The 14,763-nt window shown below is 54.3% G+C and overlaps 2 protein-coding genes and 1 long non-coding RNA gene across 16 annotated transcripts in view, besides 5 other annotated features; 2 read left to right on the top strand and 1 right to left on the bottom strand.

The window, feature by feature from the left end:
- Positions 1-7,079, top strand: part of ZER1 (zyg-11 related cell cycle regulator) — a 42,701-nt gene extending 35,622 nt beyond the window's left edge. For all 9 annotated transcript variants that reach the window (XM_017014188.2, NM_001375956.1, NM_001375958.1 and 6 more), the window contains 3 exons: positions 1,434-1,531; positions 3,337-3,439; positions 5,471-7,079. In XM_017014188.2, coding sequence (XP_016869677.1) covers positions 1,434-1,531; positions 3,337-3,439; positions 5,471-5,528 — 259 coding nt within the window. In that variant the 3' untranslated portion in view covers positions 5,529-7,079. The remainder of the gene's footprint in view (positions 1-1,433; positions 1,532-3,336; positions 3,440-5,470) is intronic.
- Positions 3,622-12,403, bottom strand: ZDHHC12-DT (ZDHHC12 divergent transcript). The gene is made up of 2 exons (NR_046240.1): positions 12,230-12,403; positions 3,622-4,023 (listed from the first exon to the last, which is right to left on the bottom strand). It is a non-coding gene; the product is annotated as a ZDHHC12 divergent transcript (long non-coding RNA).
- Positions 3,671-4,171: an enhancer, noted in NCBI's record as "H3K27ac hESC enhancer chr9:131494973-131495473 (GRCh37/hg19 assembly coordinates)". NCBI's record gives its function as "activates a minimal SCP1, AML or CMV promoter by ChIP-STARR-seq in naive H9 embryonic stem cells {active_cell/tissue: H9 hESC(naive)}" and the evidence as "EXISTENCE:reporter gene assay evidence [ECO:0000049][PMID:30033119]".
- Positions 4,172-4,672: an enhancer, noted in NCBI's record as "H3K27ac hESC enhancer chr9:131494472-131494972 (GRCh37/hg19 assembly coordinates)". NCBI's record gives its function as "activates a minimal SCP1, AML or CMV promoter by ChIP-STARR-seq in naive H9 embryonic stem cells {active_cell/tissue: H9 hESC(naive)}" and the evidence as "EXISTENCE:reporter gene assay evidence [ECO:0000049][PMID:30033119]".
- Positions 6,466-7,297: an enhancer, noted in NCBI's record as "H3K27ac-H3K4me1 hESC enhancer chr9:131491847-131492678 (GRCh37/hg19 assembly coordinates)". NCBI's record gives its function as "activates a minimal SCP1, AML or CMV promoter by ChIP-STARR-seq in primed H9 embryonic stem cells {active_cell/tissue: H9 hESC(primed)}" and the evidence as "EXISTENCE:reporter gene assay evidence [ECO:0000049][PMID:30033119]".
- Positions 7,298-8,129: an enhancer, noted in NCBI's record as "H3K27ac-H3K4me1 hESC enhancer chr9:131491015-131491846 (GRCh37/hg19 assembly coordinates)". NCBI's record gives its function as "activates a minimal SCP1, AML or CMV promoter by ChIP-STARR-seq in primed H9 embryonic stem cells {active_cell/tissue: H9 hESC(primed)}" and the evidence as "EXISTENCE:reporter gene assay evidence [ECO:0000049][PMID:30033119]".
- Positions 12,370-12,849: a silencer, noted in NCBI's record as "silent region_20350". NCBI's record gives its function as "represses an Ori minimal core promoter by ATAC-STARR-seq in GM12878 lymphoblastoid cells {active_cell/tissue: GM12878}" and the evidence as "EXISTENCE:reporter gene assay evidence [ECO:0000049][PMID:35858748]".
- Positions 12,738-14,763, top strand: part of ZDHHC12 (zDHHC palmitoyltransferase 12) — a 3,255-nt gene continuing 1,229 nt past the window's right edge. For 4 of the 6 annotated variants that reach the window (NM_001318023.2, NM_001318020.2, NM_032799.5 and 1 more), the window contains exons 1-2: positions 12,738-12,871; positions 14,291-14,427. In NM_001318023.2, coding sequence (NP_001304952.2) covers positions 12,772-12,871; positions 14,291-14,427 — 237 coding nt within the window. In that variant the 5' untranslated portion in view covers positions 12,738-12,771. Of the gene's footprint in view, positions 12,872-14,125; positions 14,428-14,763 lie in introns of all 6 variants that reach the window. The other 2 variants (XM_011519116.3, NM_001318015.2) reach the window with 1 other exon arrangement.

The raw sequence follows: 14,763 nt of genomic DNA, 5'->3' as shown, positions 1-14,763 counted from the left end.
GCCAAAAAAAATTTTTTTTTAATTAGCCAGGCATGGTGGCTCACACCTATAGTCCCAGCTCCTCAGGAGGCTGAGGTGGGAGGAACACTTGCATGGCCTGGAAGGTCAAGGCTGCAGTGAGCTGTGATCATGCCACTGCACTCCAGCCTGGGCAGCAGAGCGAGACCCTTTCTCCAAAAAAAAAAAAAAAAAGGCCAGGCATGGTGGCTCACGCCTGTAATCCTAGCACTTTGGGAGGCCAAGGCGGGTGGTCAGGAGTTCAAGACCAGCCTGGCCAACAGCAAAATGATGCTCTAACCAAAAATTAGCTGGGCATGGTGGCATGCACCTGTAGTCCCAGCTACTCGGGAGGCTGAGGCAGGAGAATCATGTGAACCCAGGAGGCAGAGGTTGCAGTGAGCCGAGATTGCACCACTGAACTCCAGCCTGGGCGACAGAGTGAGACTCCGTCTCAAAAAAAAAAAAAACAAAGAAAAAAGGGCTGGACATGGTGGTTCACGCCTATAATCCCAGCACTTTGGGAGGCCAAGGCAGGTGGATCACTTGAGGTCAGGAGTTCGAAACCAACCTGGCCAACATAGTGAAACCCTGTCTCTACCAAAAATACAAAATTTAGGCCGGGCGCGGTGGCTCACGCCTATAATCCCAGCACTCTGGGAGGCTGAGGTGGGTGGATCACGAGGTCAGGAGATCGAGACCATCCTGGCTAACACGGTGAAACCCCGTCTCTACTAAAAAATACAAAAAAATTAGCCGGGTTTGGTGGTAGGCGCCTGTAGTCCCAGCTACTCGGGAGGCTGAGGCAGGAGAATGGCGTGAACCAGGGAGGCGGAGCTTGCAGTGAGCCGAGATCATGCCACTGCACTCCAGCCTGAGCGACAGAGCAAGACTCTGTCTCAAAAGAAAAAAAAATGCAAAAATTAGCTGGGTGTGGTGGCACACCCCTGTAGTCTCAGTTACTCAGGAGGCTGAGGCAGGAGAATCGCTTGAACCCAGGAGGCAGAGGTTGCAGTGAGTGGAGATTGCACCAGTGCACCCCAGCCTGGGCAACAGAGCGAAACTCCGTCTCACAAAAAAAAAAAAAAAAAAAAAAAAAAAAAAAACCAGGTCACACGTGCTTCTGTTCCCAGGGTGCCTCTCCCCTCTTCCCCACAGGCTGGGTCTCTGCTCCTTGCTGAGGTCTCCAGCTTTCTGCTCCTCCTAATCTGGGTCCCTTGTGCCTCCCTCATGTGCTTGTGCCTTTATCCTCTCCAAGGGAACCTTGTTGTGCAGCCTGCCAGTGGGATGCAGGGCCAGCTGTCCCTTCTCCCTGGCATCCTGCCAGCCTATCATGGTTGGTCACTAGGATTCTCCAGTGGGAGGAAACCTCAGACAAGAAAAGACACACTCCCCACCCTCAGCATCCACAGTGACCTTGATTTCTTTTCCTGCAGGTCATTTGAACCAATTCTCCGCCTCCTTCCCCAGGGAATCTCTCCTGTCAGCCAGCACTGGGCAACCTGGGCCCTGTATAACCTCGTGTCTGTCTACCGTGAGTGCCAACTTGTCCTGGGTTCAGACACTCATCCAGCTGAAAGCAGATGTGCCCTCAGGGAGTTTGTAGTCCAGGAGGGGGGCATTAATTGCTGCTGTCAGCTTTTGTGCCTCAGAGCAGAACCCTCCACTTTCCAGCGTTTGTGGGACACCCAGCTTAAGGGCTCACTCCTGCCTCATCACCAGAAGCAGGCCTGGCAGGCGAAATACCTGTGCAGAGTTCCTAGACAGCTTTCTTAATGCTTCCCGCTTCCATGTGCAGGAACAGTCCAAAATCTCCATGCCTGCTGGGCTCAGTGGTGCACACCAGCTATTCAGGAGGCCGAGACAGGAGAATTGCCTGAGGTCTGGAGTTTCCAGCTGCAATGACCTATGATCATGCCTGTGAATAGCCATTGCACTCCGGCCTGAGCAACATAGTGAGACCCCCATCTCCAGAAGTAAAATAAAAGTCTCCATGCTGTCTGCATGAAAAAAAAAAAAAACACATACCATCAGCTGGTTCCAACCTGGCAGGTCACCAGAATCACCTGGTAAAAATACAGATAAATCTTAGTCCTTGGATTTGTTGAAAAAGAATATCCAGAGACAGGGCTTAGAAATCTATATTTTTACAGAAATTCCTCAAAGGATCACCATCTTTAGGAGCCACTGGTTTCACTGGTTTGGGTGACATCTTCCATAGAATGAGCGCTGGAGGCCAGGCATAGTGGCTCACACCTGTAATCCCAGCACTTAGGGAGGCTGAGGTGGGAGGATTGTTTGAGCCCAAGAGGTTGAGACCAGCACAGGCAACACAGCGCAACCCTGTCTCTACTTAAAAAAAAAAAAATTAGTCCGGGTGCAGTGGCTCATGCCTGTAATCCTAGCACATTGGGAGGCTGAGACGGGCAGATCATTTGAGGCCAAGAGTTTGAGACCACCCTGGCCAACATAGTGAAACCCCGTCTCTACTAAAAATACAAAAATTAGCTGGGCTTGATGGCACGTGCCTGTAGTCCCAGCTACTAGGGAGGCTGAGACAAAATAATCGTTTGAACCCAGGAGGCAGAGGTTGCAGTGAGCTCAGATCGTGCCACTGCACTCCAGCCTGGGTGACAGAGTGAGACTCTGTCTCAAAAAAAAAATTATATCTATTATATATATATATATATTTTTTTTAAGATTTTATATATATATATATATATTTTTTTTTTTTTTTTTTGAGACGGAGTTTTGCTCTGTCGCCCAGGCTGGAGTGCAGTGGCGCGATCTCGACTCACTGCAAGCTCCGCCTCCCGGGTTCACGCCATTCTCCTGCCTCAGCCTCCCGTGTAGCTGGGACTACAGGCGCCCGCCACCATGCCTGGCTAATTTTTGTATTTTTAGTAGAGACGGGGTTTCACCGTGTTAGCCAGGATGGTCTCGATCTCCTGACCTCGTGATCCGCCCGTCTCGGCCTCCCAAAGTGCTGGGATTACAGGCGTGAGCCACCGTGCCCGGCCATATATATATATATTTTAAGATTATATATTTTATATATATATATATATAATTTTTTTTTAAAAAAAAGAATGAGCTCTGGAAATAAATGCAGCAACTTCAAACCAAGGAGTCACCTCTTGCCTCCCCTACATGGACGCAGAACTCCCACCCATGGGGCTGGGCCCACGTCTTGCCCCCATTTCTAGCACTGCCCCCACCAAGGGCTGTGCCTTCACACCCCCGACACCAGGATAGTCCTCACAGACAGGGTGGGTTTCTGGGCCTCGGGCTGATAAGAAGACCCATCCTGATCCTCTGCTGTCTGCTCCTATCCCACAGCGGACAAGTACTGCCCTCTGCTGATCAAAGAAGGGGGGATGCCCCTTCTGAGGGACATAATTAAGATGGCGACCGCACGGCAGGAGACCAAGGAAATGGCCCGGTAAGAGACCAGCAGTGTGTTTCTGCCTGGAACCTTGGTTTAGGGGAGTAAGGGCATAGCGGGCGCCCTCTGGAGGTTAGGAATGGCTGAAATTCCCAGGGACAGCTTAGAGTTGAGTATGGAGGTTGACAGTGTATTGATGTCCACCTGGGGCCTCTCCAAATGTCATCTCGACCACATTGTGGCTGGAAATTAGATGACCAAGCTCGGAACGGAGCATCAGGGCCCTCGTTTGTAAGCTTAGTTTTCTTTTATTCCCAACAAATTCCATCCTTTTATCACTGGGTATTAGCAAGTCAGGTCAGAACTATTCATTATTTTTGGCCAAAGACATTCCCACTAAAGAAGGGACACAGTGTGGTAAAATACATTCTAGAGATAAGATGAGGCAGAGTGCGAGTGAGTTTGCTGAATGTGAAGATCACAAACATGGTGGAGTCTCGGCCTTCCGTGGCTCTGTGGCTTTCACTGCAGCATCTAAAATGTCACCGCCTCCAGTTCTCGAGTTGATCAGGACACGAGAGACTCTCAGGGATGCGACGTGTCGAAATCGTCGAACGACCTTGTTTTCTCCAGGATTCATTCTAGAAGGGAGAACAGTCAAGCTGACCCGAGCACACTTTTTCATGGCTCTGTATAGAGCAAAAGTTCACATGGAGGAGGGGCCTGAAACTCAGAGGCTCCTCAGCCAGCCACTTCCTGGGCCAGGGGAGGGAAGTGTCAGCTGGTTCTGCTATTATATCTGGCCAAAGGCGCTACTGGCCAGGCGAAGTGGCTCACACCTGTAATCCTAGCACTTTGGGAGGCTGAGGTGGGTGCATCACTTGAGGTCAGGAGTTCGAGACCTGGCTAACATGGTAAAACCCCGTCTCTACTAAAAATACAAAAATTAGCTCGGCGTGGTGGTACGTGCCTGTAATCCCAGCCACTTGGGAGGCTGAGGCAGGAGAATCACTTGAATCCAGGAGGCAGAGGTTGCAGTGAGCCGAGATGGTGCCACTGCACTCCAGCCTGGTCAACAGAGCGAGACTCTGTCTCAAAAAAATAAAATTTAAAAATAAATGGACGGGGCCCACCCCTAGGTTTTCTTTTCCAGTACATCCGGGAGGTGGGAGGTGGCCCTGGAATTTTCATGGTTAACAAGGATTCCCGGGAAATTTGAGAAGCACTGGGTAAGACTGACCAGTTACCTACCACAGTCACTTTGAACATTTCTCCAAGGCCTGTGATGGGAATCTGAGGCACTGGCCTGTCTGACAGCAAGGAGTAAATGACCCTGGACAATGCTTAGGAGAAGGCCCTCGGCCTGTCCACTGACCTCTCTCCCACTCTGGGTATTTGTTTCCTAAAAGGTATTGGGGCATCCCTTTAACACACAGAGGCTGCAGTGAAGCCCCCAAACCACAGGCTTGGTGTTGAATGGGCAAGCTGTCCGGGGTCCAAGGTGACAACCAACAGTGATGGGTGGCAGGGGTCAGGCTGGGGCGGGCGAGACTCGAAATCTGAGCTGGAGTGCTGAGCCCTGGCTGCCACAGGGTAGTGGGGGCCCTTGTGCGAGCACAGCTGCCCCTGCCCGACCCTGGACCTGCCACTGGATCCGGGCCTCTAGGGGAATCTGATGTGCAGTCAGTTTGGGGACCACTGGTGGACTTCTGGAAAGAGAAGGGTCTAGTGTGCAGGGAAAATGAAGAAGAGGTCGCTAAAGAAACTTCCAAAGGGTTTTGGAGGTCGGGCCTGAGCTGATTTGGGGACCCCCTATCCACAGATGCCCTGGGACTGGGGGTGGGAGAAGAGGGGCATGGAAAGGAAGGAAGCGGAGGATGGCTGGTGATGGCATTCACGGCCACAGGTGCCATTCCCTGAGTCCCCTGCACATGCCAGCCACTCTGCCAGCCCCTCTGTCCACATCATTCGGTCAGCATCACCATCACTATGAACACGTGTTTACCCAGCTGCCTAATGATCTCGGAGGGGCTGGGCTCACCCCCACCCAAGCCCACCCTCCAATCCTGTCTCCCCCATTGTCTCCAGCAAGGTGATTGAGCACTGCAGTAACTTTAAAGAGGAGAACATGGACACGTCTAGATAGAGGCCTCCGTCCCCATGGCCGCCACCGCTCTGGACCACAGGCGGGGAGGAAGCATGCTCAAGCAGCCCAGCGGGCGGGCCCCTTCCGAGGGAGCCTCCCACGGAGTGAAGAGACATGGGGGACTTTTGCACAACCGACGCTTTTCCTTAATGTTAGTGAGATATATATATATTATATATATATATTTTTTTTTTGGTTAGGAAGTGTGAAGTTTTGTGTGTATGATTTCTGTGCAAAAACAAAAGCAACACTCCTGAGTCCTTGCAGCTTCCTTGGCCATTCTCAAACCCACTCAGCCTTCATCGCTGACACACACACTCCTACCCCAACCAGACTAAATGCCTATAACGCTGTGAGTGTCCAGTCCTTGTCCAGGAAACTCAGATCCCGGCCTGGCTTCCTTTCATGAGAGGAGCAGGCCTTGGACAGCGTATCGAGCATCCTGACCCACTGCCCCTGCCTGAGAACGCCATCTCGGCTCCCGGGCACAGCTGATGGGGTTTGGGGATTAGAACTTACCCCACTGGGTCTCCCAAAAGCCTTGGTGCTCCCGGCTGTGGGCCATCTGGGGCAGGAAAGTGAGCCATTCCTAGGCTGAGGTCCAGGCAGCCCTGCCCCTGAAGACCCTCTAGGAGCAGGGCACCCAGTGGCCCTGCTGCTGTCCAGCCAGGCCTGCCTGAGGCCACGCTGCTATGGAGGCTGCCTCCTAGTCTCCCACCAGGTCCCAGGCTGTGGAAAGCCCCAGCCCAGGGATGGTCAGAACTCAGGGGCAGATTCCACTGCCCCTTCTGCCAAACACATCCAGAACCTGCCCTCAGCCCTGGAAGCTAGCATCTTCTGGGGCCAGGGGCTTGCTTCCTCGCTCCATAGCCCTCAACTGCCCAGGCGCTCCCACCAGCAGAACTGAGCCTGCCTCCTCCTCCCAGCCTGCCCCGCTGCCCAGAGGACCCCACGCCTCTCAGAGGCAGAGGTCCCATGACAGCCTTTGACCCACAACGGCCACACAGCCGCCTCCAGACCAGCACTCGGACTGCCCTGCAGTGGCCGCTTGGGCCTCCCTGGCGGTCCCGCCCTGCCCTAGGCTTTACCTTGGAAGCCTGAGAGGCGCCGGCTCTCTTGCTCCTCCATCGATGGACACTGCATTGCTTCTCATCGGACACTTGTGGAGCGCAGGGGCCTGGGGAGCAGCGCTAACCCTGGAGGCAGCCTTTGGGTGATGGCTTTTTCTTCCCTTTTCCTCCCGCGGGCCTGTTTTCAGGTGTTCCTAGCATTTCTGCCTCCAGGCAGGACGGCAGGGGTGAGCAGCTTTGGGAGAGACACCTGGCCTTTTTCTCCTGGAGCCTCTCCCTCCCGGCCCTGGGAAGTGGGCGCAGCCCTGTGTTCCCCCAGCTTGGCAGATGGGCTGCATGCGGCGCTCCCTTCCTTCCCACGCTCAGCGGCCCCGGCCAGACCCTGGCAGACTTCACACCTCATTGCTTTACCCCCTGGGGCCTGGGGAAATGTCTGTACTTTGGGAAGTCACAGAAATACATTTTTGTGCAAAATGGAAAACAGAGCGTCTTTTTTTGTGGAGGGGATTGCTAGCCTGGCTTCCAGGCTCTGGAGCAGGGCTTGAGCCACCCCTGGCAGGGGGGCTGCAGTGTAGGTAGTTCTGTGGTAGGGAGGGGTGCGTTTGGTGGGTTAAAGGGCTGCAGGCTGGGGACAGGTGGCAGGGGACTGAGCTGGAGTACCTGTTTCCTATGTGTTCTCTTCACATCCCTGTGCCCACTGAGGACACAGCTGGCAACCAGACCAACAGGGTGCCTGCCTAAGATGGCTCAGCCTGATGGGGGAGACAGATGGCAAATAGAAGATTACAACTCTGTGCCACCATCAGGGAGAAGGCAGCGGAGGAGGTGCCTCCTGCCAGTGGATGGGAGTGGGCAGGCGGATCAGGGAAGCTTGGAGTCCGCTGGGCCACAGTGCTTTGGGGAGAGGGGGAGGAGCCAGCACGATGTCCCCATGTGTCTGGGAGGCTTCTTACAAGAGGACAGAGTGGAGCCAAACCCAGGGAAAAGAAGGAGGTTGCCCAGGCCTGGCCCGAGGGGCTGAGGAAAAGTGCATCCTCAGCAGAGGGTCCCGCCAGGGTGGACAGAGAAGCAGCCCCATGTGGCCCTGGCAGCGTGAGGAACAAGGGTAGAGTGGGAGGGGACCAGGAAGTCGCTGGTGCCAAATTGTGAGGTGCCCAGACTCTAGCATGGCCCAGGGCCGTCCTGGCTGACACCTGTGGTCCCCGCACGTCTATCAACAGTGCCTTGTCATCCTTAAGAGCTGCCTGGTTGGAATAAGAAATGATATGGTGGGCTGGGTGCGGTGGCTCACGCCTGTAATCCCAGCACTTTGGGAGGCCGAGGTGGATCACGAGGTCAGGCGATCAAGACCATCCTGGCTAACATGGTGAAACCCCGTCTCTACTAAAAGATACAAAAAAATTAGCTGCGCTAGGCGGCCGGCACCGGTAGTCCTAGCTACTTGAGAGGCTGAGACAGGAGAATGGTGTGAACCCAGGAGGCAGAGCTTGCAGTGAGCACAGATGGTGCCACTGCACTCCAGCCTGGGTGACAGAGCGAGACTCCGTCTCAAAAAACAAAAAAGAAATGATACGGTCACACCCTTTATAGGCCACCGTGAGTGTGTGGATTTTACCCTTTATGTGAGGTTTTAAGCCTGGGCATCAGGACCCAATTAAGCATTTCTGGAAGCTGAGCACTGACTCCTCCCACAGCCTCTGTGAAGCCGAGGTCCCCTCTTCTCCACCCCCTGCAGGGCCTGGACCTGGCCTCTCTCTCCCCTGGCTGACAGCCCCCTGCCACTGGCCACCCACAGGACCTGGGCAGGAAGGGCATCAAGTGGTTTGCCTCAGAACCCTGGTGGGTCGTCTGTGCCTCGGAGGGAATGAGGGCAGTGCCTGCCAGCAGCAGCCAACACTGCTGAACCTTATTCTGTGTCCCAGGCCCCGGGCTAAGTGCTTCATGTACCTTCCGCTTCCTCAGAACCCTGGCAATAATCCATTTCACAGACAAGGACACTGAGGCTCAGAGAGGTGAAGTGACTTTACTTTTTATTTTTTTCAGACAAGGTCTCACTGTTGCCCAGGCTGAGTGCAATGGCACGATCACAGCTCATTGCAGCTTCGACCTCCTGGGCTCAAGCAATCCTTGCACCTCAGCCTCCCAAGTAGCTGGGACAACAAACGTGCACCTCCATGCACATCTAATTTTTGTTTTTTTGTAGAAATGGGGTCTCACTGTGTTGCCCAGGTTGGTCTCAAATTCCTGGGCTCAAGCAATCCTCCCACTCCAGCCACCCACAGTGTTGAGATTACAGGCATATGCCACCATACCTGGCCTGACATGACTTATTACCTCAAGGTTGCCACAGTAAAGGAGGGAAAACAAGATCCTCAGATGTGCCAGGTGCTCCTCCTCTAGCTCGCTGGCCTGATACTTGCCATTTCCTGTGTCAGGAACACTCTAGTTCCTGCTCATCCCATCACAGCACCTACTTATCTCATGGGGCTGAAATTGCCTTGTCTCGTCTCCCCCACTGGACTGTGAGCAACAAGCCACATCAAGGCTCTGCTGTAGCCCAGCACAAAACCTGGCACATGGAGGGCTCTCCTTTTAAAAACCTGTGGCCAGGCTGGGTACAGTGGCTCAGCCTGTAATCTCAGGACTTTGGGAGGCCAGGGTGGGCGGATCCCTTGAGGTCAGGAGTTTGAGACCATCCTGGCCAAAATGGTGAAACCCCGTCTCTACTAAAAATACAAAAATTAGCTGGGTGTGGTGGTGCACACCTGTAATCCCAGCTACTCGGGAGGCTGCGGCAGGAGAATCACTTGAACCCAGGAGGCAGAGGTCACAGTGAGCTGAGATCGTGCTATTGCAGTCCAGCCCAGGCAACAGAGCAAGACTCCATTGCAAAAACAAACGAACAAAAACAAAAACCTAGGTGACGGGATGAGCTGTGCAGCAAACCACAGTGGCACATGTTTACCTATGTAACAAACCTGCACATCCTACACATGTACCCCTGAACTTAAAATAAAAGTTGGAGAGAAAAAAAAAAAGAAACTAATTTTGCCGCTCAGCACCTTCAAACATGACCTACCTCTCCAAAATAGACTGATGTCTAAACCATAAAGCCATTTTACTGAGTCTCCCTAAGAAATGTGACCTCTGGCCGGGCACAGTGGTTCACACTTGTAATCCCAGCACTTTGGGAGGCCGAGGCAGGCGGATCACAAGGTAAGGAGTTCAAGGCCACCCTGGCCAACATGGTGAAATCCTGTGTCTACTAAGAATTTTTAAAAAATTAGCCAGGCGTGGTGGCACGTGCCTGTAATCCCAGCTACTTTGGAAGCTAAGGCAGGAGAATTGCTTGAACCCAGGAGGCGGAGGTTGCAGTGAGCCTCAGATCACACCAGGGAAACAGTACGAAACTCCCTCTCAAAAAAAAAAAAAAGTGCTGGGCACAGTGGCTCACGCCTGTAATCCCAGCACTCTGGGAGGCCAAGGCGGGCGGGTCATCTGAGGTCGGGAGTTTGAGCCCAGCCTGACCAACATGGAGAATCCCCATCTCTACTAAAAATACAAAATTCGCTGGGCATGGTGGCGGGTGCCTGTAATCCCAGCTACTTGGGAGGCTGAGGCAGGAGAATCGCTTGAACCTGGGAGGCAGAGGTTGCAGTGAGCCGAGAGCCCGCCATTGCATTCCAGCCTGGGCAACAAGAGCGAAACTCCGTCTCAAAAAAAAAAAAAAAAGTGTGGTGGGATGGGAACTTACAATTGTGATCCTTCCTCTGTCCATTTGAGATGAGTGTGTATCTCCTACAACTCAGAAGTGTCTTTTTCAAGGACCTGAAGGCCATTCTATTGAAATGTAATATCAGGAAGGACAGAGCCTCTGTCTCCCAGTCTCTGCAGGAGAACAGAGTCCTAACTTTCACCATTGCCAGCGAGCACGCGGAGCTGCCTAATCACATTTACCATGACCAACCCTTTGGAATTTTTCATTTCCCTTATTCTGCTGAAGCCCTCACCGTTTCCCTCCACTCCCTCATTCTCCCTTTAAGCCAGACATGGTGGAGCACGCCTGCAGTCCCAGCTACTCTGGAGGCTGAGGGGGAAGATTGCCTCAGGTCAGGAGTTTGAGGCCATAGCGAGACCCCATCTCAAGAAAGCAGAAAACCAAAACCACAAAAAACATCAGTCACCTCTGCACAAACAGAAGTTTCAGTTGGTTCACACTGGGCTCTCCGCCCTATCAGTAGTATATTGTTAATTAAAATCTGGCCTTACTATTTGAACTAGTGTTGGGATGTTTGATACTAGCACAGTGCCTAACCCACGGAAGCTTCAGAATTATGTGCTGAGTGGATAATGTGCTGGATGTCCCCACTGAGCACATCAGATCCTGCACCCAGTGCAGTAGTCAAGACTTAGCTGCAAATGACAGACACCCAACTCAAACATCTACTCAGGCTAGTCAAAGGTGGGAATTGGGGCCAGGCATGGTGGCTCACACCTGTAATCCCAGCACTTTGAGAGGCTGAGTTAGGCAGATCACTTGAAGTCAGGAATTCGAGACCAGCCTGGACAACATAGTGAAACCCTGTCTCTACTAAAAATACAAAAATTAGCTGGGCGTGGTGGCATGTGCCTGTAACCCCAGCTACTTGGGAGGCTGAGGCAGGAGAATCACTTGAACTTGGGAGGTGGAGGTTGCAGTGAGCCCAGATCGCGCCACTGCACTCCAGCCTAGGCAACAGAGTGAGGCTCTGTCTCAAAAAAAAAAAAAAAAAAAAGGTGGGCATTCATTGACTCTTGCAACCAGGGGATGCAGAGTCAGTATCAGCTTCAGGGACAGCCGGATCTAGAGGGCTCAGACAATGTTGTTCAGACCATCTCTTGCTCCCTCCTTTAGTGCTGCTTATCCATCTCTATGTGTCTTTATAAGTTGGTCTCATTTTCTCCAGCCACAGACAGGGTAAGCCCTCTCCGCCCAGCGTAAAGACGGCTCCCAGTTGCCTTATATCCCATTCCTTAGGCTTGAGATCCAAAAGAATGCTCCTTCCTCTCAGCATCTAGACAGTAATCTCATGGAAGGCCTGTGATTGGTTCTGCAGAGTCGAAAGCCCACAGCCTGCCGCTCGCCATCCTATGGGGTGAGGGGCAGTCCCTCCAATCACATGGGATGGGAAGTCGATTCCCCAACCAAAAAAAGGATGTTGAGCTGAGAAAAACAACAGATGTCAGAGGAGTATCCTGGAGGAGCTGGGATGGGGCCAATCAGAGGGAGGCGGAGGAGGATGCTGGTATCAGTGGGAGGTGCTGTGGAAAGGCGGGGCTGAGTGGAGAAGGCCCTGGGGACACAGGGAAGGAGGACAGCCTGCAGCCTCCGGTGAGGAAAGTCCGCCTGTAGGTGGTGGCTCACAGCAGGAGAGGCAAGACAGTCCCGTGCTAGACAAGGCGCTTCCATTATTTAATCCTCCCAAACACCTTAGGAGGAAGACACTATTGTAATCCCCCTTATAGAGACAGAAAACAGCTCAGAGGGGCTCAGTAACTCGCCCAGGGTCACACAGGTAGGAAGGGGCAGTGCTGGGATTTCTGACTCCCGCCTAAGTTGGATCACCCATAGTCAGAATGTGCACCACGTACCTCCACTTTTCTCTCGTCCGTTTGCAATATCTGAGAATACATAGCAAGGAGGTAAAGCTGTCACCACAGAGCAACCTTGGGCGAGCCTTGGCCCTCTCGAGACTTTAGTCATCACATCTTTGAAATGGGTACAATTTTGCCTCCCGGACTCACAGCAAGCCGCTGGATCTTCGAAGCGCCCAGGGAGCTACGCGCATGCGCGAGGCTGCGAGGGCGGGCACAGGGGAACGCGGGGGAGGGCACAGCGGAGCGCGGGGGAGGTGCGCGCGCGCTCCGGCGCTTTCAAAAGTTACCTGGCGGGTGGGGCTGGAGTTGAGGGAGTTACCAGCTGCGCGCGCGCCGGCCCCACCCTCAGCCTCTTCAGGCACCTGTTGGCTTGAGGGTCCATTCGGCCGCAGATGCCATCCAATAGGCAGCCTCCCTGACCCAGTCCGGCCCCGCCCAACGCCTAGATCCACCAGTCCCCGGGCGGCGGCGTTCCCCTCCCTCGGAGGGCCCGCCCCTCTGGGCGCTTCTTCCGGGTGGGGCCCCGGGCCGAGGCGATGGCGCCCTGGGCGCTCCTCAGCCCTGGGGTCCTGGTGCGGACCGGGCACACCGTGCTGACCTGGGGAATCACGCTGGTGCTCTTCCTGCACGATACCGGTGAGCCGGACCCCGAGCGACCCCGGACCCACCCGATCCCGCGTACTTCCCCAGACGTTCTGGTCACACTGGGTCTCCCGCCTAATCCCTGGAGATCCTGGGATTGGCCCGATCTCCACCAGCTCCTGAAGCCCTCTCCCCATCTATCATTCCAAGAGCCACCTGCTCTCTGTCTGATACCCCGTTGATCCCTAATTAATCCCAGCATCTTCCTGATCATTGCCAAATGCCCTGTCCATCCCAGGACCCAGCCGGTGCCCACCAGATCCAAGGACCGACTTGAGCCCCATGTCCCCTGATCCTGGGACCCACATGATCCTTCCCAGGAACTGACCCCAAATCTTCCTATCCATACGATTAGGAGGCTCAACTAGATGCAAAGATTGGCATTCTGCCCACACCCACACCCCCCACACCCCCATGGCCACTAGCTGCCCAAGTCCAGGCAAACCCTCAGGCCAGAGAACACTCCATGGGGTGCGGCCTGTCTCCCATCTTCCCACAGATTCACCCACCCACCCACCTCCATTTCCCTCATTCCTCTTAGTAGCCCCCTACCCAGCGCCTCACCTGCCACAGGCAGCCTCCCCCACTGTCCCCCACAGCAGACCCCAGCCCTCCTTCCATGGCGGTCCAGCCTCAGTTTCTGGACTGGGGCCCCTTCTGGCTTTCCTCCCAAGACAGACCTCCTCCACCACCTTCACCCTTTAGCCTAAAAACTTGCTCAGGTCTCCGTATCAGAAAACCCCCCTCAAAACCCACCCTTTCTTCTCTGCTCCCCCTTACAACCAAGGGACACAGGATTTGTCTACACTCTGCTGTCTGGTGGTCTCATGCCCCCTCACTCCTTGCCCTGCACCCTACCTCCCCAAAATCCTGTCACCTCCCTGGGCTGAAGCCTGCTGGACCCTTCCGTATGCCCCTCTGCAGCATCTGAGCCTGCCAGCTGCACCCTTCCCACTGTATCTCTCTCAGGCATTTCAGACCTAACCAGTCTCTCACCATTGCAGAGCCAGAGACGCTGGACCCCTCTTCCCTCTCTCCCACATCCAGTCAGGTCTGGCTCCCTTGACCCAGCAGCCCCCTGTCCATTCCTTCCTCCCTCACTTCCTGCCAGGCCTTTGTAGCGACTCTCTTCTTCCTCCTGGCCAGATTCTCTGCCCCCAGGCTTCCCCTGATCCATTTCTTTAGCAATGAGGTTTTCCAAAACAGATCTGGCTCTATAACCTTCCATGGTTCCCTCTGACCCTCCAGATAAAAGTGCAGATGAACTGCTGGCCACACACAGCCACTCATGGAACCAACATCTCCAGGCCTTTGCTCAGCCAGGAACACACTTCCCCACCTCCAACTGCACCCCAACCCCACCCACTCCTGTTCTACCCGGCCCAGCCTCACTGTGCTCTCCGGCCTCTCCAGAGCTGCGGCAATGGGAGGAGCAGGGGGAGCTGCTCCTGCCCCTCACCTTCCTGCTCCTGGTGCTGGGCTCCCTGCTGCTCTACCTCGCTGTGTCACTCATGGACCCTGGCTACGTGAATGTGCAGCCCCAGCCTCAGGTAACCAGGGGCCCCTACTCTCACCAACAGGGACCTAACAACCAGCACCAGTCTCCATGCCAGGCTCTGTGCTGCAGGCTCTTGTGGGAGCAGTTCAGTGACTCCTCTTGCCACCCCTAGAGCCCCATCTACAGTAGTGAGGAAACTGCTGGGCCCCAGAGAAGGAAGAGACTTGCAAACATACACAGCCGCCCTCAGTCCAGGGTGCTCCGCCATACCCCACACCTCCATTCTGCATGGGATGGGTCCCAAACTCCATACCCAGAGCTAAGCCGGCCCCTAGGGGAGCTGCCCGCCAATGCCATCTGTCTCCCAAGGGGACCCTGTCTTACACCC

This window comes from Homo sapiens, chromosome 9 (assembly GCF_000001405.40).
Source record: "Homo sapiens chromosome 9, GRCh38.p14 Primary Assembly".
Classification (NCBI taxonomy): Eukaryota; Metazoa; Chordata; class Mammalia; order Primates; family Hominidae; genus Homo; species Homo sapiens.
This window is presented reverse-complemented; position numbering and strand designations above follow the sequence as displayed.